The sequence below is a fragment of the Homo sapiens genome, chromosome 9, assembly GCF_000001405.40.
Source record: "Homo sapiens chromosome 9, GRCh38.p14 Primary Assembly".
In the NCBI taxonomy this organism is placed as follows: domain Eukaryota; kingdom Metazoa; phylum Chordata; class Mammalia; order Primates; family Hominidae; genus Homo; species Homo sapiens.
The window spans coordinates 65381644-65403702 of record NC_000009.12 but is presented as its reverse complement, the minus strand read 5'-3'; the positions used below and the strand labels follow the sequence as shown (position 1 = coordinate 65403702).

Here is a 22059-nt window from a genome sequence, read left to right as displayed (position 1 = left end):
AGCCAGCACCCCGAGGGAGGAGGTGGCTGCTGGGGAGGAGGATGAAGCAGGAAGGGGTCACCCCACTGAATGGGGTGTGGGTGCAGTCCCTTTGTCCTGAAGCCACACATGCCTGGTTCGTGGCCTTTGACTCATGCTGGTGATGGTCACCATGTGTCCAGGACAGAGCCTGGAAGATTAAGAGCGTGTTTAATTTTTACCACTGGCCAGTGATGCTGGTGTTTTCAGAGGGGAACTGAGGCCTGTGGAAGGGAAATAGCTGACCGGGGGCAGAACACTGCTGGCCAGTGACAAAGGGAGGGACCTACACTGGCCGTGTGCCTCTAACACGTGTCCTCCCACGTGGCACCACCCACAGCGACCCCAGCCCCCTTGCCTTTCTTCAGCACCTGTCATGGGGCCAAGAATCCGAGACTGGGCTGGTGACCGGGCTGTGACCACAGGCCCCTCCTCTCCGGCTGGGGCCCATGTCTTCAGGTTCATGCAGGTCCAGACGGGTCAAACAAACACAGCTCGCCCACGCAGGGTCATCTTGAAGCTGAGGATGGAACTTGAGAAAACATGTTTCTTTGTTTGGCAATTAGGTCTGTGGAGGGTTCTGAGGGTTTGGAGACATTTTCTTCCTGGAGAGGGCCCTCGTTCCTCCCAGGTATTTGACTCCCACTCCCTGCGAAGCCTCCGAGAGCCGTGCTGGGCTCTCCTTCCTCGGCCGCCTCCTCTCCAGGGCAATAGCCCTACTGAGTCCTTGCTCACCTCCAAATGACTCTTCTGTGGAACTTTCCAGTGGAGAAGGAGGAGGGAGAGGAGAAGCAGGGAGCAGCCCGGCCTTCCTCCTCTGTGCCCACTGCCCTCCTGCCATGGGCCCTGTCTGGGCACCCACTTAGGGGTCTCCAGCCTGACTGGTGGCACTGCGGCCTCCCCATGGCTCTAAGGGTGTCTGGGGTGTCCAGGAGACACAGATGGAAACAGATTGACCTCAGTTCTGCAGTGCCTGCTCCCGACACTATATGTTCAGGGTTAGATGGTGTCCCCCGCAAAGTCATGTTCATCCAGAACCTCAGAATGTGACCTTATTTGGAAATAGGCTCTTTGCAGGTGGAATTAGTTCAGATGAGATACGGGGGTAGGGTGGGCCCTGAACCTGGTGACGGGTGTCCTCACAGGAAGAGGGAAATCCAGACTCAGACACAGAGAGGAGGAGGAGGAGGCTGAGACGACAAAGCAGACAGTGGGGTGATGCGGCCACAAGCCAAGGATGCTTGGAGCCACCGGTAGTGGAAGACGCAGGAAGGGTGCTCCTGCAGAACCTTCAGAGGCAGCGCGGCCCTGCCCGCACCTCCATCTGGGACGTGGGACTCCAGACTGCGAGGGAGTGGACACCCGTTGTTGAAGCCCTGTGTGGGCACCCCTATCACGGCAGCCCTGGGATTCCTCAACTGTGCCCTGTCACCTCTCACCCTGCTGCTGGAGAGGCTCGGTTTGCTCCTGGAAGTCGTGACTGTGAAATGTGGATGTTTTGCTGTGACGTCCATTGCTACTCTCATGCTGGGGTCCTGCTCTCTCTGTCCGGGTTCCGTCACCGCTGAGCTGGACATCAAGGCCGAGGATCTTCTCAGTGGGCAGAAGTGTGTCTCTACAAATAGTGCCAGGTCCTTTTCATTATCCTCCCTGGTCCCTCCCCTCCCCTCCCCTCCCCCTTCCCCTCCCTCCCTCCTTCTCTCCCTCCCTCCTTCCATGTCTGGAGAGGACCCCGGCTTGGAGCAGGCATGCTCTGCTCTGTTGTGAGGCAGATCTCGGGCCTCCTCACTCACCGTCCCACTCGCCAGGAGTCTGGAGGGCATGCTTGGGGGCTCTCAGTTGGGGTCTCTCATTGGGTGCCCTCGGGGGCTGCTGCCATTGAAAGCACTCTGGGGTGGGAGGCCGGCAGTGTTTGCTAGGGGTGGGAGCTCAGCTGGGCTGCCAGAAGGTGTCCCCACATGGGAACCCCTGGATGGGGGGCTCAGATGGTGGCTGTCCCCTGCAGAGAGATGGCCCAGGAGAGTGACGTGGGCTGCCTGCTGCTCTGCACCGGCCTGGACATGGCAAATCACTGTGCTGTGTCCACTTTCCAGTGTGGGGCCTTGAGCACTGCCAAGAGGTTTTGCCCCAGGGGCTTCCAGGAGGCCTTGCCATCATCAGTGCATGATACCACCTCCCTGGGTCTGAGGCTGCTTCCTGGAGTGCATGGGTCCCTCCGAGGGACTAGGACTGGCAGATACTCAGCGTCCACAACTATGAACACCTGAGCAGAGGCGGGCTGGGATCCAGGCCCAGCTTGCTGGAAGCTTCTCCATGGGATCTCTCAGGATCCCCATTTTCTCCTGTACCAGTGAAGAAAACCAGCATCCACCCACCACAGAGCCCACAGCTCAGGCTCCTGGCCCAGTGGCCTGGTGATGCCTGGAGACCAGGCTTTGTCTGCTGGTCATTGCTAGAGGCCCCTGGCCACTCTCACTTGATCTCCCACGTGGAACTTCCTGCAAACTCTTGAGCAGAGGCGCAGTGGCCACCATTGCCGACATTTCAGTCAGCAGGACTGTGGGCCTGGAGGGCCCCGGGGGCTGAGGTTGCAGAATCGGGGTCTCAAAGGACCCCACCGACATCCAGTCCAACACTTCCTGCTGGAGTCCGAGGACACTTTGAGCTCCGCCTGGAGCTGTCTACCGGCCCCTCAGAGGGGGTGATGCTGGATGCAGCTCTGGCCACTTGCAATGTGGCTCCAGGGAGGCTGTCTCTGGGGTCTCCCCTAGAAAGGTCAGGAAAAGGGGCCAGATATGTGTTCAGGGGTCCCCAGAGAGTTGAGGGAGACTAGCATCTCCTTAGGGTAAGGAAGGCAAAATGCCCATTCCTGATCCCAGATTGCTTAGATACTGTGCCTGGGAGTCCTCCCACCTCGCCTTAATTCCTATCTCCACTCACAGCTTGGCCAAGTTTCTTCCCCTGTTGGAGTCTCACTCCCAATCCCCTACTCTATCTCTCCAGGAGCCTACAAAGCACTTTGAAATGTGAAGTTTGTGGGAGGTGGCTGTATCCCACAAATACTCTGAGGTGCAACATGACTTGACTGGTAATGAGGCAACCATCCCACCTAGGGCAGAGTTCAAGGAGTGCCTTCAAGAGGGGCTGGCCTCAGTTTGCCTGTTACAGAAGCCAAGGGCTAACAGAGGCTGCCCTCTGCCTCACAAAGAAGGAGATAAATGGGTCCACTGGAGAGCAACGGTCACAATCAAGTCTTAATGATGAATTAATAATTCATAATTACCCCAGACTTGCAGATAAGCACAAGCCCACTGGAATTATTTCCCAGGGAGGAACACACTCAGAAAGTGTGAGAAGGGGACTTCAGTATAGATGTTACTTCCAGAGGCCGTTAAGTTCATTCCTCTGCTTCCCAACCAGAACCTGGAAGAGATCCATTAGCTTCCTTGGCTGATTCCTCCTAACAGCTACCACCCCCTGAGCTACTAAACAGTGCCATATTGCCCCTCTGTTCTTCATAAGGCCAGAGGACCATTCCTGCCAAAGTGACCTCAGAGCCTGGACTCTGGATTTCTGGGGTCTCTCTGTTCTCTGCTCCCCATTCTGCTATTTACATATGAGGTCCCCTGTAGGAGGGCCTGGTGCTAGGTGTCCCGGCGAGATGTGGACATCTTTCTGGCTCTTCTCCTTCTCTTATCTAAGTCCTCACATGGTGGGAAAATACCTCTCTAATGTTATGTAGAAAGAGAAGGAGGGAGTGCCCCTTCTAGCGTGGATGCCTTTGGTTCCCAGATCTGGATTTGAGGGGCTGGCTCTATCTCTTAAGAAGACATTTACCTAGCATTGGTAATGGAGATGGGGCCTTAATAGGGCTAGGGAGGCACACCCAACTCCAGACACAGCTCTCTGCTGTTCCCCTTCCCAGTGCACACAGTCCCAATTCCCACTCCAGAAAATTTTTTAAAAACATATCTTAAAAAAAACCTCAAAGAGCCAAGCAGACCCTCAGCTTCAAGGTATCTCCTCATTCTCTCTCTCTCTCTCTCTCTCTCTCTCTCTCTGAATCTACAAAGAAGGAGTGAGTTTTGTCTCTCCAAGTACTCAGAGCCTTAGATCACGAAGGGGCCTTAGATCCTGGTCTTTAGGAGGCCTTTGACCACCATCTCTGCTGTGGCACGACCTTTGTCAAAACGCTAGAAAGAAGAGAGACTGGCTCTTAGACCAAGGGGATTTGGGATTCAAAAGGACTTCCAATTCCAGTTCTATAGATTTCCTTCCCATTAGCCTCTTCATGTGCATCAAATGTAAATGGCAGGCTAAACATACAGGATGAAGAGAGTTGAAAGACTGCTGCCTAAAAATACCCTTTTCCAAATCTGTGGGTGCAGAAGCACATTGAAAAGCAGCTACCCAACCTGGTGGTGTGGCACATGTCTGCAGTCTCACATACTTAAGAGGCTAAGGTGGGAGGACTACTTGAGCCCAGGAGTTTGAGGCTTCAGTGAATTATGATGGTGCCACAACACTCCAGCCTGGGAAACAGAGCTGGACCCCATTTCCAAAAAAAAAAAAAAAAAAGTAGTTACCCAGGTAAGGTGGATGATCAAGTACACCCAGTGAGAAGCACACAAACCTTACCCTTTACCCAAACTCTCTCCCTTACCTGGCCCATTTCTGGTTTCTGGAGGAGGATCAGTTAGGGGGTGTGACCCAAGTTACCCAGATAATTAACTGTGGAAGCACGAGTTTTTTTTTCACTCCTTTGACCTCTACATATGAGAGATCTTTACATCTCTTGCCTAGCTCCCTCTTATTATCTACCCTCTCCCCAACACACACGCAAATCCTAACAACAAAAAGCCTAAATATAGGAAGACAAACCTTCCTGACCTACCATTTTGGCCCACCTGCAACCCCTGTCCCCTGCCCCCACCCCCCAATTTTTTTCTCTCCTGAGCCTCTGCTCTTTGCTTCTAAAATAAAAAAAAAAAAAAGAAGAAGAAGGAATTTTCAATAGTCCAACTTGTCAAGCGAAGACCATCTTTTAACCTTCAACAGCAGCCAAAGCCGTGTGAACTCTTGGTGAACCAAGATTGAAGTCATAAATCACGTGTACAAAGGCGGCTGCGGAGTCTGGCGCGGGCTGCTGCACCTTTAATGCTTTCTGGGGCTTACAGGCGGCGGCCCAGCTAAAGTTCACAGCGCCCGGGGAGGGCCCGCCTCCGCCTCCCCTCCCTCCCCCGCCTCCCCTCCCTCCCCCGCCTCCCCTCCCTCCCCCGCCTCCCCTCCCTCCCCCGCCTCCCCTCCCTCCCCCGCCTCCCCTCCCTCCCCCGCCTCCCCTCCCTCCCCCGCCTCCCCTCCCTCCCCCGCCTCCCCTCCCTCCCCCGCCTCCCCTCCCTCCCCCGCCTCCCCTCCCTCCCCCGCCTCCCCTCCCTCCCCCGCCTCCCCTCCCTCCCCCGCCTCCCCTCCCCCAGCCCGGCCCTGGCTCCGGACCGGTACACAGCGCGGCCGCCTGAGCTGCGAGCTGAGGAGGCCCCTTGGCTGTTCCCGCAAAGGGCGGGGGGCGCATTTTCTCTCCTGCCAGCCCGCTCCATCCTGGTCGTTTATTCCTGGCCTTCCCTCACCCTCCACCCCCACAGCCTGCTGTACGTAAATAGGCAAATAGATCTACACAGACACAATAATTTAGCTTGTTTGGTCTTTGGCATTTTCCTCTCCCCTTCCTCCTTTTAGAAATGGCATCCTTCATCTCTGTCTATGCAGGCCCAATTATCCAGACCCTCAGGGCTCCAATAGGGTCTGAGTCATTGGAACCAGGAACACCTGGCTGAAACATGCCACATAATTAGACTTTCTTTTTCTTCACCTTTTCTTTCTTATTTTTATAAGAGGGCCGGAATTAGCCTCTTCGACTGGGGCGGAGTAGCTGGGGTGTGGGAAAGGAACACCTTCATACAACTTCCAGCTTTCAGCCCCTTGGAGAGATTTCCAAGTTCTCCGGAGCCACCAGGACTTCCTTTCCTTGATCTCTCGGCCACCTCCTCCTCCTTCTCCGATTTTTTTTCCCTCCCCCCGCTGTCTTCTCTACGGTTTAATTAAAGTTCAGCGACTCCACTTGTCTCTCCTCTCATTTCTTTCGGAAAGCGGAAACCAGACGACCCAGCGGCCACGGGACGAGCCGCCCCAACTCAACCCCAGCAGGACGCTGGAGGGGCCTCCCTTGCCCACCTCTCTTCGCTGGCACTGGCCTCCCGCACCCGGGTCTGCAGTCCCCCCTCCATCTCGCAGGTGTGCAGCCGCTAGGCCTGGGGGATCCGAATGACTGGGGCTGGATAGGAATGCCTTCGTGTTTCCCAAGACCCAGGGGCCTGCTCCACAAAGTTTGAAGGGTGGGTACACGCCGACCCAGGCAAGTTGCTCCCCCAAACCCATGACTGACTAATCTGATATGACAAAAGCCCATGATGGATTTGGTATATGTTAATTCACAATGCCCTTTCCTCCAGAATTTAACTATAAGTTAATACACACCGGAAACCACGCGCATACACGCTCCTTAATGGGCTTAGGTATTAGCGAATCCTAACGATGCATACAAATGTGTTCTGCGCTCTGTAGACCCCTCAAGATTTATGGGCCTTGAGCTCTCTGAAGCTGTAAACAAGGAGAAAAAAAAAGAGAAAGCGAAAGCGACTGGGGGGAAGAGACAGAGGCCTGACTCACCCCTCCAGGTTTTGGAGAGAAGGGATTCTTTATGTATTTTCCTTTCCTTGCAAGCTCGGTGCGTGTGGGTTTTGGCGTTGGTCTGGGGGTGGTGTTCTGCCTGAATGCTGGTGTGCGTGGGCAGTGTGTTGTTTGCATGCTGGGGTAGGATGCCTGCCTCTTCGGATTGCTGTGCAGGGGCCTGAACACAGCAGGCATTTGTGACCATATATGCGTGAGTGTGCACTGTGTTAGGGTGTGTGTGTGTGTATGTGTGTGTGTGTGTGAGAGAGAGAGAGACAGACAGGGAGAGGCAGGCTTCCCCCTGGGCCAGGCTGCTGTCCCTTGAACGGTGGTGAACAAATCTCTAACGACAATCTTAATAACAATAAATAATGAATAATAATAATAAAACAGTAGTTAACAGTCCCTGCATAACAGAATAACAATAAAATGCAAGAGGAAATATTTTGAGGTGGAGACAGGAGTCAGGATCACAGCATCTGAGGGGGAGATAGGAAAGGAAGGGAGGAAGACAGCTTCTTAATATGCTCTTGGTGGGGCTGCGGTTGGGAACCCCTTTCCCAGACAAGGGACGTAAGAGGAGAAGGAGAGCCAGGAGGCCACTCTTTATTGCTTTTTTTCTCAGGCTTCTGCTTTGTGTGATCAGGGAAGGGATCCCACATATGGGAATGGTTAATGGATTTTGGGACTCTCTAGGAGCCCCTGTTTTAAGAAGGAGGCCAAATGTGCAGGCCCAGGCCAAGCAGCAGAGATGAATGAGGTGATGACCACAGCCTTGATCCGGCAGGAGCTCAGAGATGTCCGGGAAGACGGGGGGCCCGAATGGAAGCAGAAAAACATTTATGGCCGCTGGGAAGTTGGGAGAGCCAGGCTGGGGCTCCGGCAGGCCCAGGGAAAGTTCCCTTTCTAGGCTCTTTATTAAAAAATTTAAAAGGAGGAGTTGAGGCGCCTTGAATTTTCCTTCGCGAGTTTGGAGACCAGCCGATTTTTCATGAAGCAAGCAAAGACCGCGGTCCCGGATCCTGCAACATATACTTCATTTTCTCCAGGTACAGTTTTCTGGTCATTTAATTGGTTTGTTTTCTTGGGGGAGATGGGAATCACAGGCGTAGAGATAGTAAGTTGGCTAGAGAGGAAGCCACCCCACAGTTTCGGGTCTAATGAAATCCCTCCTTTAAAAACATTTGTACCCCCAATAAAAATAAAATTAAAGAGGAATATAGAAACACAAATTAGCCAACTTTTTTAAAAGAGAAAAAAGAAAAGAAAATCATCGTAACAGATGAGCGTGAGAACTTCTAAAAAATTTGTCACGAACCCTTTCAGAGGTCTGGATTCTTTTTCAGTAGCCGGTGACCCATTTGGTCTGAAAAGAGAAATACACTATCCACTGAGTCACTTATTTAAAGCCAGCACACACACACACACACACACACACACACACACACACACGCATTCAGAAAGCCCTGGGTGCCCTCGCATTTGAAAACAACACCGGGTGGAGGATGCTGCGATACCTAATTGGACAAAACAGCAATAAAATAAGACCAGTGGAAGTGCTGAGCACAGGGCGCAGGGCTAGGGCCCAGGTTTTGTGTTCCAGGCCGAGGGCGAGGCAGCGGCCCCGGGAGACGGGGCGCCGGGCGGTCAGGCACCGGCTGGCGACTCTGCTCGGCCTCCACAGCCCGGCCTGCAGCCCCTTTCCCCCAGCCTCTGGGCCTCGTGGGCTCTCTCCGCTCCGACGCCTGTTCGGGGCTTCCCTGTTGAGAGGGTTTTAGGCCGAAGGGCCGAACGACTCAAGCCAGACTCTGCTTTTTCATTTTTCTCCCTTAGGCCTCTCCACTTGCCCAAGCTCTCAGCCACCAAGAGACAGATGGAAGGGGCTTCTGGGCTGTGTTGGGAGCGGGCATTGTCCCCTACCCACTCCTGCACAGTTTCCCAAAGTCCAGCCACCTCCGACTCTCCTTGGGGGAAAAAATACCAGTACCCAGACACCTCTGCACCCTGTTATATGACTGGGCTTGCTTCAGGAATATCTTACAAAGAAGAAGAAGGAGGAGGAGGAACGGCTTGGAGTCATGTTTACATCTAGTTCTACTGATCCGTTCACATCTGGAGAGATTATTTATAACTCCCTCTATAACTCTCTGTTTGGAGGCACTGGTGGCTCTAATGACAGACTGATGTCTAGGAAATATTGCTCTATGTCTAATGGTACCTAAATGTGCTGTGGTTGTATTTACAGATTTACGTTTGCGGGAAATATAATTATTTCCATTGTATTTGTGCATATACAGTAGTTATAGGAGCAGATTTATATATGGGAAAATATGCGACTCCCTTACAGCCATCCGGCTTTATGTACATTTGATATCCTGACAGATTTATATCTCTGAACAGCTATATAGATAAAAACGTATATTGTTAGAATTATGTATCAGGAGATATATACTTATTGATTGCGAAATAGAGTAGTTAGAGCATTCACTTAGAGCCATATATGGCTATGGAGATATTTCTATATTATTATCACTATATATAGGCATATCTATTTATAACTGCATAGTTATAAAAATAGACATAAGTAATTATAGTCCTATAGGTGCATGCTGCAATCTCTCTCTAGAGTTATAGACACTTTCAAATATAACTCTATAGAGAGATCTGTATGTATATAAGGTGTAATTATCCAGTGATGTGTTTACGTTGGGACTTAGGCCCATCTGTCTAGAACAGACACATTTATATGTAGGGGCTGGGAGAGACTTATTCACAGATATCTGCAGAGGGCCAACTGGAAACACTGTATCTGCCCTCTAGGAAACCAGCTAGGAGAGTTGTGTACTTATGGAGGGATGGAGTTACAAAAGGGTAAATAGAGCTCAGGGAGACTTAAGGAGGGGAGGTGAATGGAGGGTGGGTGGGCTCGGTTTGAACAGATAGTGGGAGGAAAGGGGTAAACACCAGCACCCACCAGAAGGCGAGAACCAGTTTTGTGAGGGGCTGGTGCAGATGACTGTGGACAAGGAGCTTGTAAAATGAGAAGCGGCTAACAGTCCTGCCACCTCACCCTGAGACACTCTCCACCGAGGAAGCAGCCTTCAGTTTGGCTTTTAGTGCACTGTAGGATAGGGACTGTCATGTCACTCCTGTAGTCCTAGAGCGTTTCTCTTGAACCCTAATTTTTAGGTCTCAAAGAGTGGGCTTCAGAGATAAAGAGGTTTAGTCAGGGACAGGGCGAGGAGCGTGGGGTGTACTTTTGCTTTCCAATAAGTAAGGTAATCCAGGAAAGTGAGTTAATTTGGCCAAATAAAGCTTGTTTTTATGTGGGCCTCCTGTGCCCTGGTGCGGATGTAGGATGGGACCAGAATCTGGTGGACTGAGGAGTGAATTTCCAAGTATTGGGCCTGCTCTGATGGGGGCTTAGGGAGGTTGTCCTCACCACCCGCCCTCCTTCTCTGAGGCCTGAGTGGCCTAATTCCCTCTGGGTACAGAGGGACTCCTTCAGCTCCCTAACAGTGCTGCCCTGGGTCTTTTCAGGGAGAATTTGACTTTAGGAACAGGGAACATGGACTTACCCCACTAGATCTCACTTCTCCTACTCACAGCTATACCACTCGTACGTCAGCCTCCTTCCAGGCGCCACTCGGCCAGGGGTCCACAGTTCTTCCCCTGCTACCAACCAGCCCAGTGGGGAAATACCTCCCACGACTGACAGTTTTTGTGTTTGTGTGTGTGTGTGTGTTTTTTTTTTAACCAGGAAGTTACAGATAACTTCGTTAACTGCGTGAAGGAATTGTCCTGAACTCAGTCTCTGTGGCCAACCTAGCCTCCAGGATCTCTAGGATGCTAGGAAGGGAGTGGAGACCCTTGGACCAGGCTAACCACCATGTGCCATCCTCCACACACCCCTGCCCACAGGACTAGGAATTCCTGCAGTGCAGGGACTCTGTCTGCTGCCTGGCACAGAATGGTTGCCCAAACATACTTGTTGAGGTAAACGGAATGGCAGTCAATACAAAAACTCACCCTCACTCTGCACACCACCATAGCCACTGCTGGCTAGCAGGCACCCTAGCCAGGCTAGGAGATAACATGGCGGCTGGCAGCAGCCTGGGCTTTGACCGGACCAGTGGTTAGTAGCGTGGGAGAGCATCTTGAGCCTAGGATGGGGCGGGGACTGGAGCAAGGCACCTGGAATCCAGAAATTTGGGGGTAAGCCAAGGCAGACCCACCGCCCCAGTGCACTTCTGCTTTCTATCTCCAGTCTCATGGCTCCCTGGACCCCCAAAAGTTATGAAAACTAAACCAGAACTGAGAACTGGGCTAGGATGGAATTGCCTGTGAACCCGAGGGGTGCAAAGAGGAACCACCATTGGGTCCATTAAGAAATCCACAAATAAAACAAAAATAAATCAGTGTGACACAGACAACCTGGCTGAAGGAAAGGTTTCTCTCTATGCTTCAGCCCTGCTCCAGGGCTACCAAACAGATCAGGCTTAATATTTAAAATGTTTAATAGTTAAATTTTTTTAACAATTTAACTTTAAAAAGGTCACACATTTTCTGATCCAGCAATGCCCCAATCAGATTGTTTCATTTTATTATTATTATCAACACTGTCCCCTTTTTGGCACCTGTAAAATAGTTCCTTTCGGGAGTTTGGAGCCAGGCCAGGCACCGTCGGTGCATGGGATGAGATGGGCAGGTTTGGAGCTCCTCTGTCTAGTGAGGATCACGGTCTGCAGAGAAGGGTTGGCCTCCCCGTCTCCCATCAAGGCTTAAAGCAAGGAGAACCATCCCGAATTTGGTTCCTTTTCCACTAAGTATCCTTAGAGGCGATCCACCCTGTGACTAGGTGACTAGGTGAAGGACTGAGGTCCAGAAAGGAGCTATCTTAAACCTGGAATCCCATTTCCTAGTCTGCAGCCTTAAGCAGTTTCCCTCTCAGACAACTAGCCCTCTCCTTCCTCCGCATGAAAACCCATGGCTTACAGGGATGGTTGTTGCTTTCCCTAAAGAAATTCAGGAAGGGAGATGTGAGGGTCAGTTCTCAGCGGTGGCGTTCTTTGAAGGGGACGCAGCCTGACTGCCAGGAAGGGAGAACGAGTCGGCCCAGCCAATGCTCATGCGCGAAGCACAAGCGGTTTCTCCCCTCACAGTGGTTCCCACGGTTGTCTTAGAAACCAGTCCCCGAGGCTTGGCAAAGGGGGAGACTTCCGTGGCAGTGCTTGGGTGTCAAGGCTCTGAGGCTCTGGCCTGACGACTCCACTGGGTCGAGGGGAAAGTCTCTGGATGCCAAGAGTCACAAAGGGCCAAACAGGGTGAGGAAACCCGACGCAGAGTCCGGAGAAGGCAGCATGGAATCCCTCCCTCAGGCCTCTCTGGACGGTGTTGGTGGGGGTGAGTCTCCCCAAAAGTCGTGACACGGTGATCTCGAGGACAGGACGGCCTGCGTGCCCCTGGGGTGCTCTCTCACCGAAGGGTCGTTCTCGTCGAAAGCAGAACCCCACAGCCTCAGGGGTTGCCTGGGTGTGTGTCTTTCAATGCCTTTGCTATAAGACTCTGTGTGTGTGTCTGTGTTTGTATGTGTGTGTGTCTCCCATTCTCTCTTCTCTCTCTGTCTCTCAGTCTCCGTGTGTTTCTTTCCCTCTCTCTGTCGGTTTGTGTGTGTGTGCCCCTGTGCGTGTGTGTCCTTGGCTGAATGTGCCCTGTGCACCACAAAGCTGTTTCTCGCATGGCGGCCTGTCTTTGGTGAGCCTGTTTCTGCCTCTCTGCCTGGGTCATGAGACCGGTTATCAATCCCTTTCGCCGACGCGGTTCCGCTTTGGGTGTGTGAAGGCCTGGCCCAGGTGAGGAGATTCTTCGGTCCCGGAGCAATTGAAATATTATCCCCATCCTGAGCAGCCTCTTTTCTAGGATCAAGATGAACACACTGCAGACGAGGACACGAGCCCCACAGGAGCTCTTTGTCCCGCAGGAGACCAGCGGACCCACATCAGAGAAGATGCTTGTATCTTTTCATGGCTCTTCTCTGAGAAATGAAGCCACACCACAATACGGTCTGGAAGAGGAAGCCGGGAATGGGAGATGGCAACAGTCCCTGTCACTGGAATGCTGGCCTCTCTGGACAAGCCACCCTTTTGGAACCCCACCCCTTATGACCCTGGCAGTGGAATGGTGATACATCCTGCCTGGCCGCCGGCGTCTGCCCTGTCCTCCCTCCTGCTCTGCCTCACCTGTTTCTCAAGTGCCTCAATGCCTCTCGCTGACGCCCAATGTCTTCAACAAAGATGACTTCCCAGTCGGTCAGGGAGACATTTCTTCGAGATCCATGTCGTGATTGTTTCTCTCTCCAAACGTGTTTCTGCTTGATTGGGCAGGTCACATGACCTGGGAGCTCCTGGCTTCCATTCGTGTCTCAGGCAGGGAAGCTTCCTTCTTCTCCACGTTTCCCCTCATGGGTGGGTGGATTGCCTAGAATGAGCGCTAGGTGACCATGACTGGCCTTGTCTTCCAGGAAAGGTAGTGTCGCATTTCCTCTGCACTTCCTGTCTCATTCATGAGGGACATCCTCTCCTCTGCTCCTGCATGGACTGACTCCCTTGATCTTCTGGCCGAAACAAATGTCAGGGAACCAAAGGGACTGGGCTGGGGCTGGGGCTGGGGCTGGGGCTGGGGCTGGGTGCAGCCTAAGTTGCGTCAGGGCTACCAGGGCGGTGGAGGGTTGGGGGTGGGGCGAATTTTGCAGAAACCTCTTTGCTCCTCTGGTAGGCATGTGAAAACTTGGCTTGGGTCAGGCACAGGACCCCCACCCCCCGGGTCCTAGGTGTTCTTTGATTTTCCTTGGCATTGATGGAAAGGTCAACCGTTTCCCCATTCAACCGGCACATGCCTGGACACCACCCTTTGTTTCGCCGTCACCCCGTATGCCTCCGGTGACACACATTAACACCAACTGCTGTGGGATAGGCCAGTGCCACGCGTGGTCACATGGTCTCCACCTCGGATTCGCCCCTGTTCCTCTATGCAGGTGTCCTGTAAAGCGCGGTGGGCTTTCCGGAACCCCAGGGCTTTGACAAGCGGGGCAGGCCACTGCTCTTTCAAAGGAGGAGGGAGGCAGAGGGCTGATGGATAAGTGAATTTGCAGCTGACACTAGGCCTTGAGACCTATGGGATCATTCTGCGCTGCAGCGAGGCCCTGCCTGCCTCACCAGATGTGGTGAGCCCATCCTATTTCACTCGAAGGGGGCCAAAATTGGATCTGAACAGGAGGCCGGAGAACACAGCAGGCGTCCTGAAGCTCCCCCTCCCTCAGTGGAAGTCGGCTCAAGCAGGTCCTGAGGTGAGGACTCCTCGGGGTTTGGCCCTGGGACAGGAGAAGACACCCACGGCCCCCTCTCCCACGCCGCCCCAAACTGGACCCCGGATCTAGCCGCCGCAGCGGGGCTAGCAGGAGCCTCGCTGCTGTCGCGCTCAGAGGTGGCAGTATTTAAAGGGGACACAGCCTGACAGTCAGGAGCGGAGCGCGAGTTAGCTCAGTCAGTGCACATGCGCGAGGCGGGAGCGGCTTCTCCAGTCACAGTGGTTCCCACGGTTGTCTTAGAAACCAGTCCCCGAGGCTTGGCGAAGAAGGAGCCCTCCGTGGCAGTGCTTGGGTTTCCGGGCTCTGAGGCTCCGGCCTAACCTCTTCTTGGGGTCAACGGGAACGTCCCCAGATGCCAGGAGTCGCAAAGGGCCGACTACCATGAGGAAAGCCCAGCGGAGACGGGGGAAGCAGCACGGGATCCCAGCCTCAGGCCTGACCGGACGGTGTTGGTTGGGGTGAGTCTCCCCAAAAGTCGTGCCTCCGTCAGTGATCTCTAGGACAGGTCGGCCTGCATGCCCCTGGGCTGCTCTCTCACCCGACGGTCCTTCTCATAGAGAGCAGAACATCACAGCCTCAGGGATTGCTTGGGGGTGTGTTTTTCAATGCCCCCCTCCTTAGAAAGAGCAGTGGCCTGCCCTGCTTCTAAAAGCCCTGGGGCTCCGGGAGCCGACAGTGCTTTACAGGACACCTGCAAAGAGGAACAGGGGCAAATCCGAGGCGGAGACCATATGACTACGCGTGGCACTGGCCTATCCCACAGCAGTTGGTGTTAATGCGTGTCACTGGAGGCATACGGGGAGACGGCGAAACAAAGGGTGGTGTCCAGGAAGGGGGAAACGGGTGACCTTTCCATCAATGCCAAGGAAAATTGAAAAACACGTGGGACACGCGGGGTGGGGGGGGGCCTGTGCCTGACCCAAGCCACGTTTTCAAATGCCTACCAGAGGAGCAAAGAGGTTTCTGCAAAATTTGCCCCATCCCAAACCGTCCAAGGCCCTGGCAGCCCTGACACAACTTTGGCTGCACCGAGCCCCAGGACCAGCCCTCCACCCTAGACCAGTCCCTTGGGTTCCCTGACATTCTTTTCTGCCAGATGATCAAGGGCTTCAGTTCACCCAGGAGCAGAGGAGAGGATGTCCCTCAAGAATGAGACAGGAAGTGCAGAGGAAATGCGACACCACCTGTCCTGGAAGACAAGGCCAGTCACGTTCACCTAGCGCTCATTCTAGGCAATCCAACCACCCATGAGGGGAAACGTGGAGAAGAAGGAAGCTTCCCTGCCTGAGACACCTAAGGAAGCCAAGAGTTCCCGGGTCATGAGACCAGCCCAATCAAGCAGAAACAGGTTTGGAGAGAGAAACAATCACGGCACAGATCTCGAAGAAATGTCTCCCTGACGGACTGGGAAGCCATCTTCGTTGAAGGCATTTGGCCAGAGCTAGAGGCATCCAGGCCCCTGAGAAACAGGGGAGGCAGAGTAAGACGGAGGACAGAGAAGAGGCCGGAGCCCAGGCAGGATACAGCACCATGCCACCGCCAAGGGCATAAGGGGTGGGGTTCCAAAAGGGTGGCTTGTCCAGGGAGGCCAGCGTTCCAGGGACAGGGATTGTTGCCATCTCTCATTCCCGGCTTCCTCTTGCTGACTGTATCGTGGTGTGGCTTCATTTCTCAGAGAAGAGCCGTGAAAAGACTCAAGCATCTTCTCTGACATGGGTCTGCTGCTCTCCTGTAGGACAAAGAGCTCCTGTGGGATTCTTCTCCTCATCTGCAGTGTGTTCGTTTTGATGCTAGAAAAGAGGCCGCTCAGGATGGGGATGAGACTTCAATTGCTCCGAGACCGACACATCTCCTCACGTGGGCCAGGCCTTCACAGAGCCAAAGTGGATCCACAGCAGCAAAAACGATTGACAACCGGCCTCATGACCCAGGCAGAGACGCAGAAAGAGGCTCAACAAAGACAGACCGCCATGCGAAAAACCGCTTTGTGGCACACAGGGCACCTCCAGCCAAAAACACACACGCACACGGGCATGCACACACAAACCCACAGAGAGAGGGAAAGAAGCACACAGAGACTGAGAGAGGGAGAGAGAAGAGAGAATGGGAGACACACACACACACACACACACACACACACACACACACACACACACACACACACAGAGTAATACAGCAGAGGAATTGAAACACACACCACCAGGCAATCTCTGAGGCTGCGGAGTTCTCCTCACGACGAGAACGACCCTCGGGTGAGAGAGCAGCCCAGGGTCACGCAGGCCGACCTGTCCTCGGGGTCTCGGATGGCGGCACGACTTTTGGGGAGACCCACCCAACCAACAACACCGTCCGGGCAGGCCTGAGGCTGGGATCCCGTGCTGCTTCCCCCGTACCCCCCTGGGGTTTCCTCATCGTGGTCGGCCCTTTGCGACTCCTGGAATCCGGAGACGTTCCCTTCGACCCCGTGGAGAGGTCAGGCCGGAGCCTCACAGCCCCGACACCCAAGCACTGCCACCGAGGGCTCCTGCTTTGCCAAGCCTCAGGGACTGGTTTCTAAGACAACCGAAGGAACCACTGTGAAGGGAGAAGCCACTAGCGCCTCGCGCATGCGCATTGGCTGGGACGATTCGCGCTCAGCTCCTGGCAGTCAGGCTACGTCCCCTTTAAATATCGCCACCGTCGCCTGGCGGCCGCGATGCTCCTGCTGCCGCCATGGCGGCGGCTGGATCCTGGGTCCTGTTTGGGGTGGCGTGGGAGAGGGGGCCGCGGGAGTCTCGTCCTTTCCCAGGCCCAAACCCCCAGGGGTCCTGTCCTCAGGACCTGCTTGAGCCGACTTCCTCCGAGGGAGGGGGAGCTTCAGGACTCCTGCTGTGTTCTCCGGACTCCCGTTGAGATCCGATTTTGGCCCCCTCCCAGTGAGATAGGATGGGCTCACAAAAACTGGTGAGGCCGGCAGGGCCTCGCTGCAGCACAGAATGATCTCATAATTCTCAAGGCCTAGAGTCAGCTGAAAATTCACTGATCCATCAGCCCTCTGCCTCCCTCCTCCTTTGAAAGAGCAGTGGCCTGCCCCACTTCTAAAGGCCCTGCGGTTCCAGAAAGCCGACCACGCTTTACACGACACCTGCAAAGAGGAAAACAGGCGAATCCGAGGGGGAGACCATGTGACCACGCGTGGCACTGGCCAATCCCACAGCAGTTGGTGTGAATGTGTCTCACCGGAGGCATAAGGGGCGACGGCGAAACAAAGGGTGGGGTCCAGGCATGTGGCGGTGGAAGGAGGAAACCGGTGACCTTTCCATCAATGCCAAGGAAAATCAAAGAACACCTGGGACCCGGGGGGTGGGGGAGCCGCCTGTGCCTGACCCAAGCCACGTTTTCAAATGCCTACCGGAGGAGCAAAGAGGTTTCTGCAAAATTCGCAACACCCCCAATCCTCCATCGACCTGGTAGCCCTGACGTAACTTCGGCTGTCACAAACCCACAGAGAGTGGGAAAGAAACACACAGAGACTGAGAGACAGAGAGAGAAGAGAGAATGGGAGACACACACACAGACACACACACACACACACACAGAGTCATACAGCAGAGGCATTGAAACACACACCCCCAGGCAACCCCTGAGGCTGCGGGGTTCTGCTCTGGAGGAGAACGTCCCTCCGGTGAGAGAGGAGCCCAGGGGCACGCAGGCCGACCCGTCCTCGAGATCATGGACGGCGGCACGACTTTTGGGGAGACTCACCCCAACCAACACCGTCTGTGCAGGCCTGAGGCTGGGATCCCGTGCTGCTTCCCCCGTCTCCGCCTGGGGTTTCATCATCATGGTCGGCCCTTTGCGACTCCTGGCATCCGGAGACGTTCCCTTCGACCCCGTGGAGAGGTGAGGCCGGAGCCTCAGAGCCTGGACACCCAAGCACTGCCACGGAGGGCTCCTGCTCTGCCAAGCCTCGGGGACTGGTTTCTAAGACAACCGTGGGAACCACTGTGATGGGAGAAACTGCTCGCGCCTCGCGCATGCGCATTGGCTGAGCGGACTCGCGCTCCGCTCCGGACAGATAGGCTGCGTCCCCTTTAAATATTGCCACCGCCCCGCGGCGGCCGCGATGCTCCTGCTGCCGCTGTGGCGGCGGCTGGATCCTGGGTCCTGTTTGGGGCGGCGTGGGAGAGGGGGCCGCGGGTGTCTCGTCCTGTCCCAAGCCCAAACCCCCAGGGGTCCTGTCCTCAGGACCTGCTTGAGCCGACTTCCACGGAGGGAGGGGGAGCTTCAGGACGCCTGCTGTGTTCTCCGGACTCCCGTTGAGATCCGATTCTGGCCCCCTCCGAGTGAGATAGGATGGGCTCACCACATCTGGAGAGGCCGGCAGGGCCTCGCTGCAGCACACAATGATCCCATAGGTCTCAAGGCCTAGTGTCAGCTGCAAATTCACTCATCCATCAGCCCTCTGCCTCCCGCCTCCTTTGAAATATCAGTGGCTTGCCCCGCTTCTAAAAGCCCAGGGGCTCCGGAAAGCCGACCGCGCTTTACAGGACACGTGCCACCAGGAACAGGGGCGAATCCGACGTGGAGACCGTGTGACCACGCGTGGCACTGGCCTACCCCACAGCAGATGGTGTGTCGCCAGAGGCATATGGGGCGACGGCGAAACAAAGGGTGGTGTCCAGGCGTGTGCTGGTGGAAGGGGGAAATGAGTGACCTTTCCATCAATGCCAAGGAAAGTCGAAGAACACCTGGGGCTCGGGGGTTGCGGGTCGAGATGGGGGGCTGTGCCTGACCCAAGCCACGTTTTCAAATGCGTACCAGAGGAGCAAAGAGGTTTTGGCAAAAATCGCCCCACCCCCAAGCCTCCACCGCCCTGGTAGCCCTGAGGCAACTTTGGCTGCACCCAGCCCCAGCCCCATCCCCAGCCCCAGCCCCAGCCCAGTCCCTTTGTTTTCCTGACATTCGTTTCGTCCAGAAGATCAAGGGAGTCAGGCCACCCAGGAGCAGAGGAGAGGATGTCCCTCAAGAATGAGACAGGAATTGCAGAGGAAATGGGACACCACCTGTCCTGGAAGTCAAGGCCAGTCACGGTCGCCTAGCGCTCATTCTAGGCAATCCATCCACCCATGAGGGGAAACGTGGGGAAGAAGGAAGCTTCCCTGCCTGAGACACCTATGGAAGCCAAGAGCTCCCGGCTCATGATACCTGCCCAATTAAGCAGAAACACGTTTGGAGAGAGAAACGATCATGACACGGATCTCCAGAAAGTGTCTCCCTGACGGACTGGGAAGTCATCTTTTTTGAAGGCATTTGGCCAGAGCGAGAGGCATCCAGGCCCCTGAGAAACAGGGGAGGCAGAGCCAGAGGGAGGAGAGAGTAGAGGCCAGAGCCCAGGCAGGATACAGCACCGTGCCACCGCCACAGGCATAAGGGGTGGGGTTCCTAAAGGGTGGCTTGTCCAGAGAGGCCAGCGTTCCAGTGACAGGGACTGTTGCCATCTCCCATTCCCGGCTTCCTCTTGCTGACTGTATCGTGGTGTGGCTTCATTTCTCAGAGAAGAGCCGTGAAAAGATACAAGCATGTTCTCTTGCGTGGATCCGCTGCTCTCCTGTGGGACAAAGAGTTCCTCTGGGGCTCTTGTTCTCGGCTGCAGTGTACTCATCTTGATCCTAGAAAAGAGGCCACTCATGATGGGGTTGAGATTTCAGTTGCTCCGGGAGCGACGCATCTCCTCACGTGGGCCAGGCTTTCAGACACCCAAAGCGGATCCGCCGCGGCGAAAACGATTGACAGCCGGCCTCATGACCCAGGCAGAGAAGCAGAAAGAGGCTCACCAAAGACAGGCTGCCATGCGACAAACCGCTTTGTGGCGCACAGGGCACATTCGGCCAAAGACACACACGCACACGGGCATACACACACAAACCCACAGAGAGAGGGAAAGAAACACACAGAGACTGAGAGACAGAGAGAGAAGAGAGAATGGGAGACACACACACAGACACACACACACACACACACACACAGAGACACACACACAGCGTCATACAGCAGAGGCATTGAAACACACACCACCAGGCAACCCCTGAGGCTGCGGGGTTCTGCTCACGACGAGAAAGACCCTCGGGTGAGAGAGCAGCCCAGGGGCACGCAGGCCGACCTGTCCTCGAGATCACGGATGGCGGCACGACTTTTGGGGAGACTCACCCCAACCAACACCGTCCGGGCAGGCCTGAGGCTGGGATCCCGTGCTGCTTCCCCCGTCCCCGCCTGGGGTTTCCTCATCGTGGTCGGCCCTTTGCGACTCCTGGCATCCGGAGACGTTCAGGTCGACCCCGTGGAGAGGTCAGGCTGGATCCTCAGAGCCCCGACACCCAAGCACTGCCACGGAGGGCTCCTGCTTTGCCAAGCCTCGGGGATTGGTTTCTAAGACAACCGTGGGAACCACTGTGACGGGAGAAACCGCTCCCGCCTCGCGCATGCGCATTGGCTGAGCGGACTCGCGCTCCGCTCCTGGCAGTATGGCTGCGTCCCCTTTAAATACTGCCGCCGCCTGGCGGCGGCAGCGAGGTTCTTCCTGCCGCCATGGCGGCGGCTGGATCCGGGATCCAGTTTGGGGCGGCGTTGGAGAGGGGGCCGCGGGTGTCTTGTCCTGTCCCAGGGCCAAACCCCTAGGAGTCCTGTCCTCAGGACCTCCTTGAGCCGACTTCCACCGAGGGAGGTGGAGCTTCAGGATGCCTGCTGTGTTCTCCAGACTCCCTTTCAGATCCGATTTTGGCCCCCTCCGAGTGAGATAGGATAGGCTCACCACATCTGGTGAGGCAGGCAGGGCCTTGCTGCAACACAGAATGATCCCGTAGGTCTCAAGGCCTACTTGTACTGTTGTACATAATGTATATAATTGACTTTTATTCACTCGACAAAATTTCCTAAAAATACATCCAAATGATTGCATTAATTAATATTTTGTTCCTTTGATGACTGAGTAGTATTTCATGGTTTCTGGTATAAATTCACCACAAATTAAACATTCACCTGGGCTTATTGACCTTTTCAACTGTAACAAATTAAGCTGTTGTAGACATTCGTGAACAAGTTTTTGTGGGACCACAAGTTTCATCACTCCAAATTAAACACCCACAACTGCAATTGCTGGGATCTATGGTCTATGCATATCTGGTTTTTATTTTACTTTAAAAAATTTTTAATTATTTTCTTAAAATTTTATGGGTACACTGAGTGCCCACAGAAGCTAGTAAGGATACTGGGGCATTGGAGAGGAGGTAGAGAAGGTTAATCAGCACACACACAAAAAAAAATGTGGAAAGAATGAATAACATGTCTGTCTTTTTAAAAAACTGTCAACTATTTTTCAGAGTGGCTCTATTATTTTACTTTTCCACTAGCAACTTATGAGTGATCGTATTTTTTACATCCTGAATAGCTTTTGCTATTGTCACAATTTTTAAAAGTCATTTTGATAGGTGTGTAGAAATATCTCACTATGGTTTTATTTGACATGTCCATGATGATTAATAATATTGAACATGTTTCATGGATTATTTGACATCTGAATATTTTTCTTGTTAAAACGTCCATTGATGTCTTTTGTCCATTACCTAATTGGATCATTTGCATTTTTTTTTAAAAATTTGCTGTTGTGTTTTGTGTCATCTCTATTTATTTTTGTTGGTTTTGATAGATGTTTATCAATTGATTGATTTTTTCAATAAACCAGCTTTTTGTTTCACATTTTTTTCTGTTTTCAATTTCATGAATTTTTGTTATTGTGATGATTATTTTTCTTCTTCTGCCTGCTTTCAGTTTACTCTGTTCTTTTTCTAGTTTCTTGAGATACAAGTGTAAGTTATTGATTTGAGATCTTTTCTTATTTTTAATGAAGCATTTAGTACTATAAATTTCTTTCCCACCACAGCCTTAGCTGTATTTCCTATATTTTGATATGT

General features: G+C 53.8%; 2 long non-coding RNA genes across 4 annotated transcripts; one reads left to right on the top strand and one right to left on the bottom strand.

Moving 5' to 3' along the window:
• Positions 1 to 6143: 6143 nt before the first annotated feature.
• On the top strand, positions 6144 to 12742 carry LOC107987069 (uncharacterized). Of its 3 annotated transcripts, none has more exons than XR_007061550.1 (3): positions 6144 to 7793; positions 8578 to 12276; positions 12664 to 12742. It is a non-coding gene; the product is annotated as an uncharacterized LOC107987069 (long non-coding RNA). The 3 variants fall into 3 exon arrangements; XR_001746683.2 differs by having other exon boundaries at positions 8578 to 12147; positions 12664 to 12740; XR_007061551.1 differs by having other exon boundaries at positions 12652 to 12735.
• Positions 12743 to 19351: 6609 nt separating this feature from the next.
• On the bottom strand, positions 19352 to 20549 carry LOC105379444 (uncharacterized). The gene is made up of 2 exons (XR_950677.3): positions 20300 to 20549; positions 19352 to 19761 (listed from the first exon to the last, which is right to left on the bottom strand). It is a non-coding gene; the product is annotated as an uncharacterized LOC105379444 (long non-coding RNA).
• Positions 20550 to 22059: the final 1510 nt, after the last annotated feature.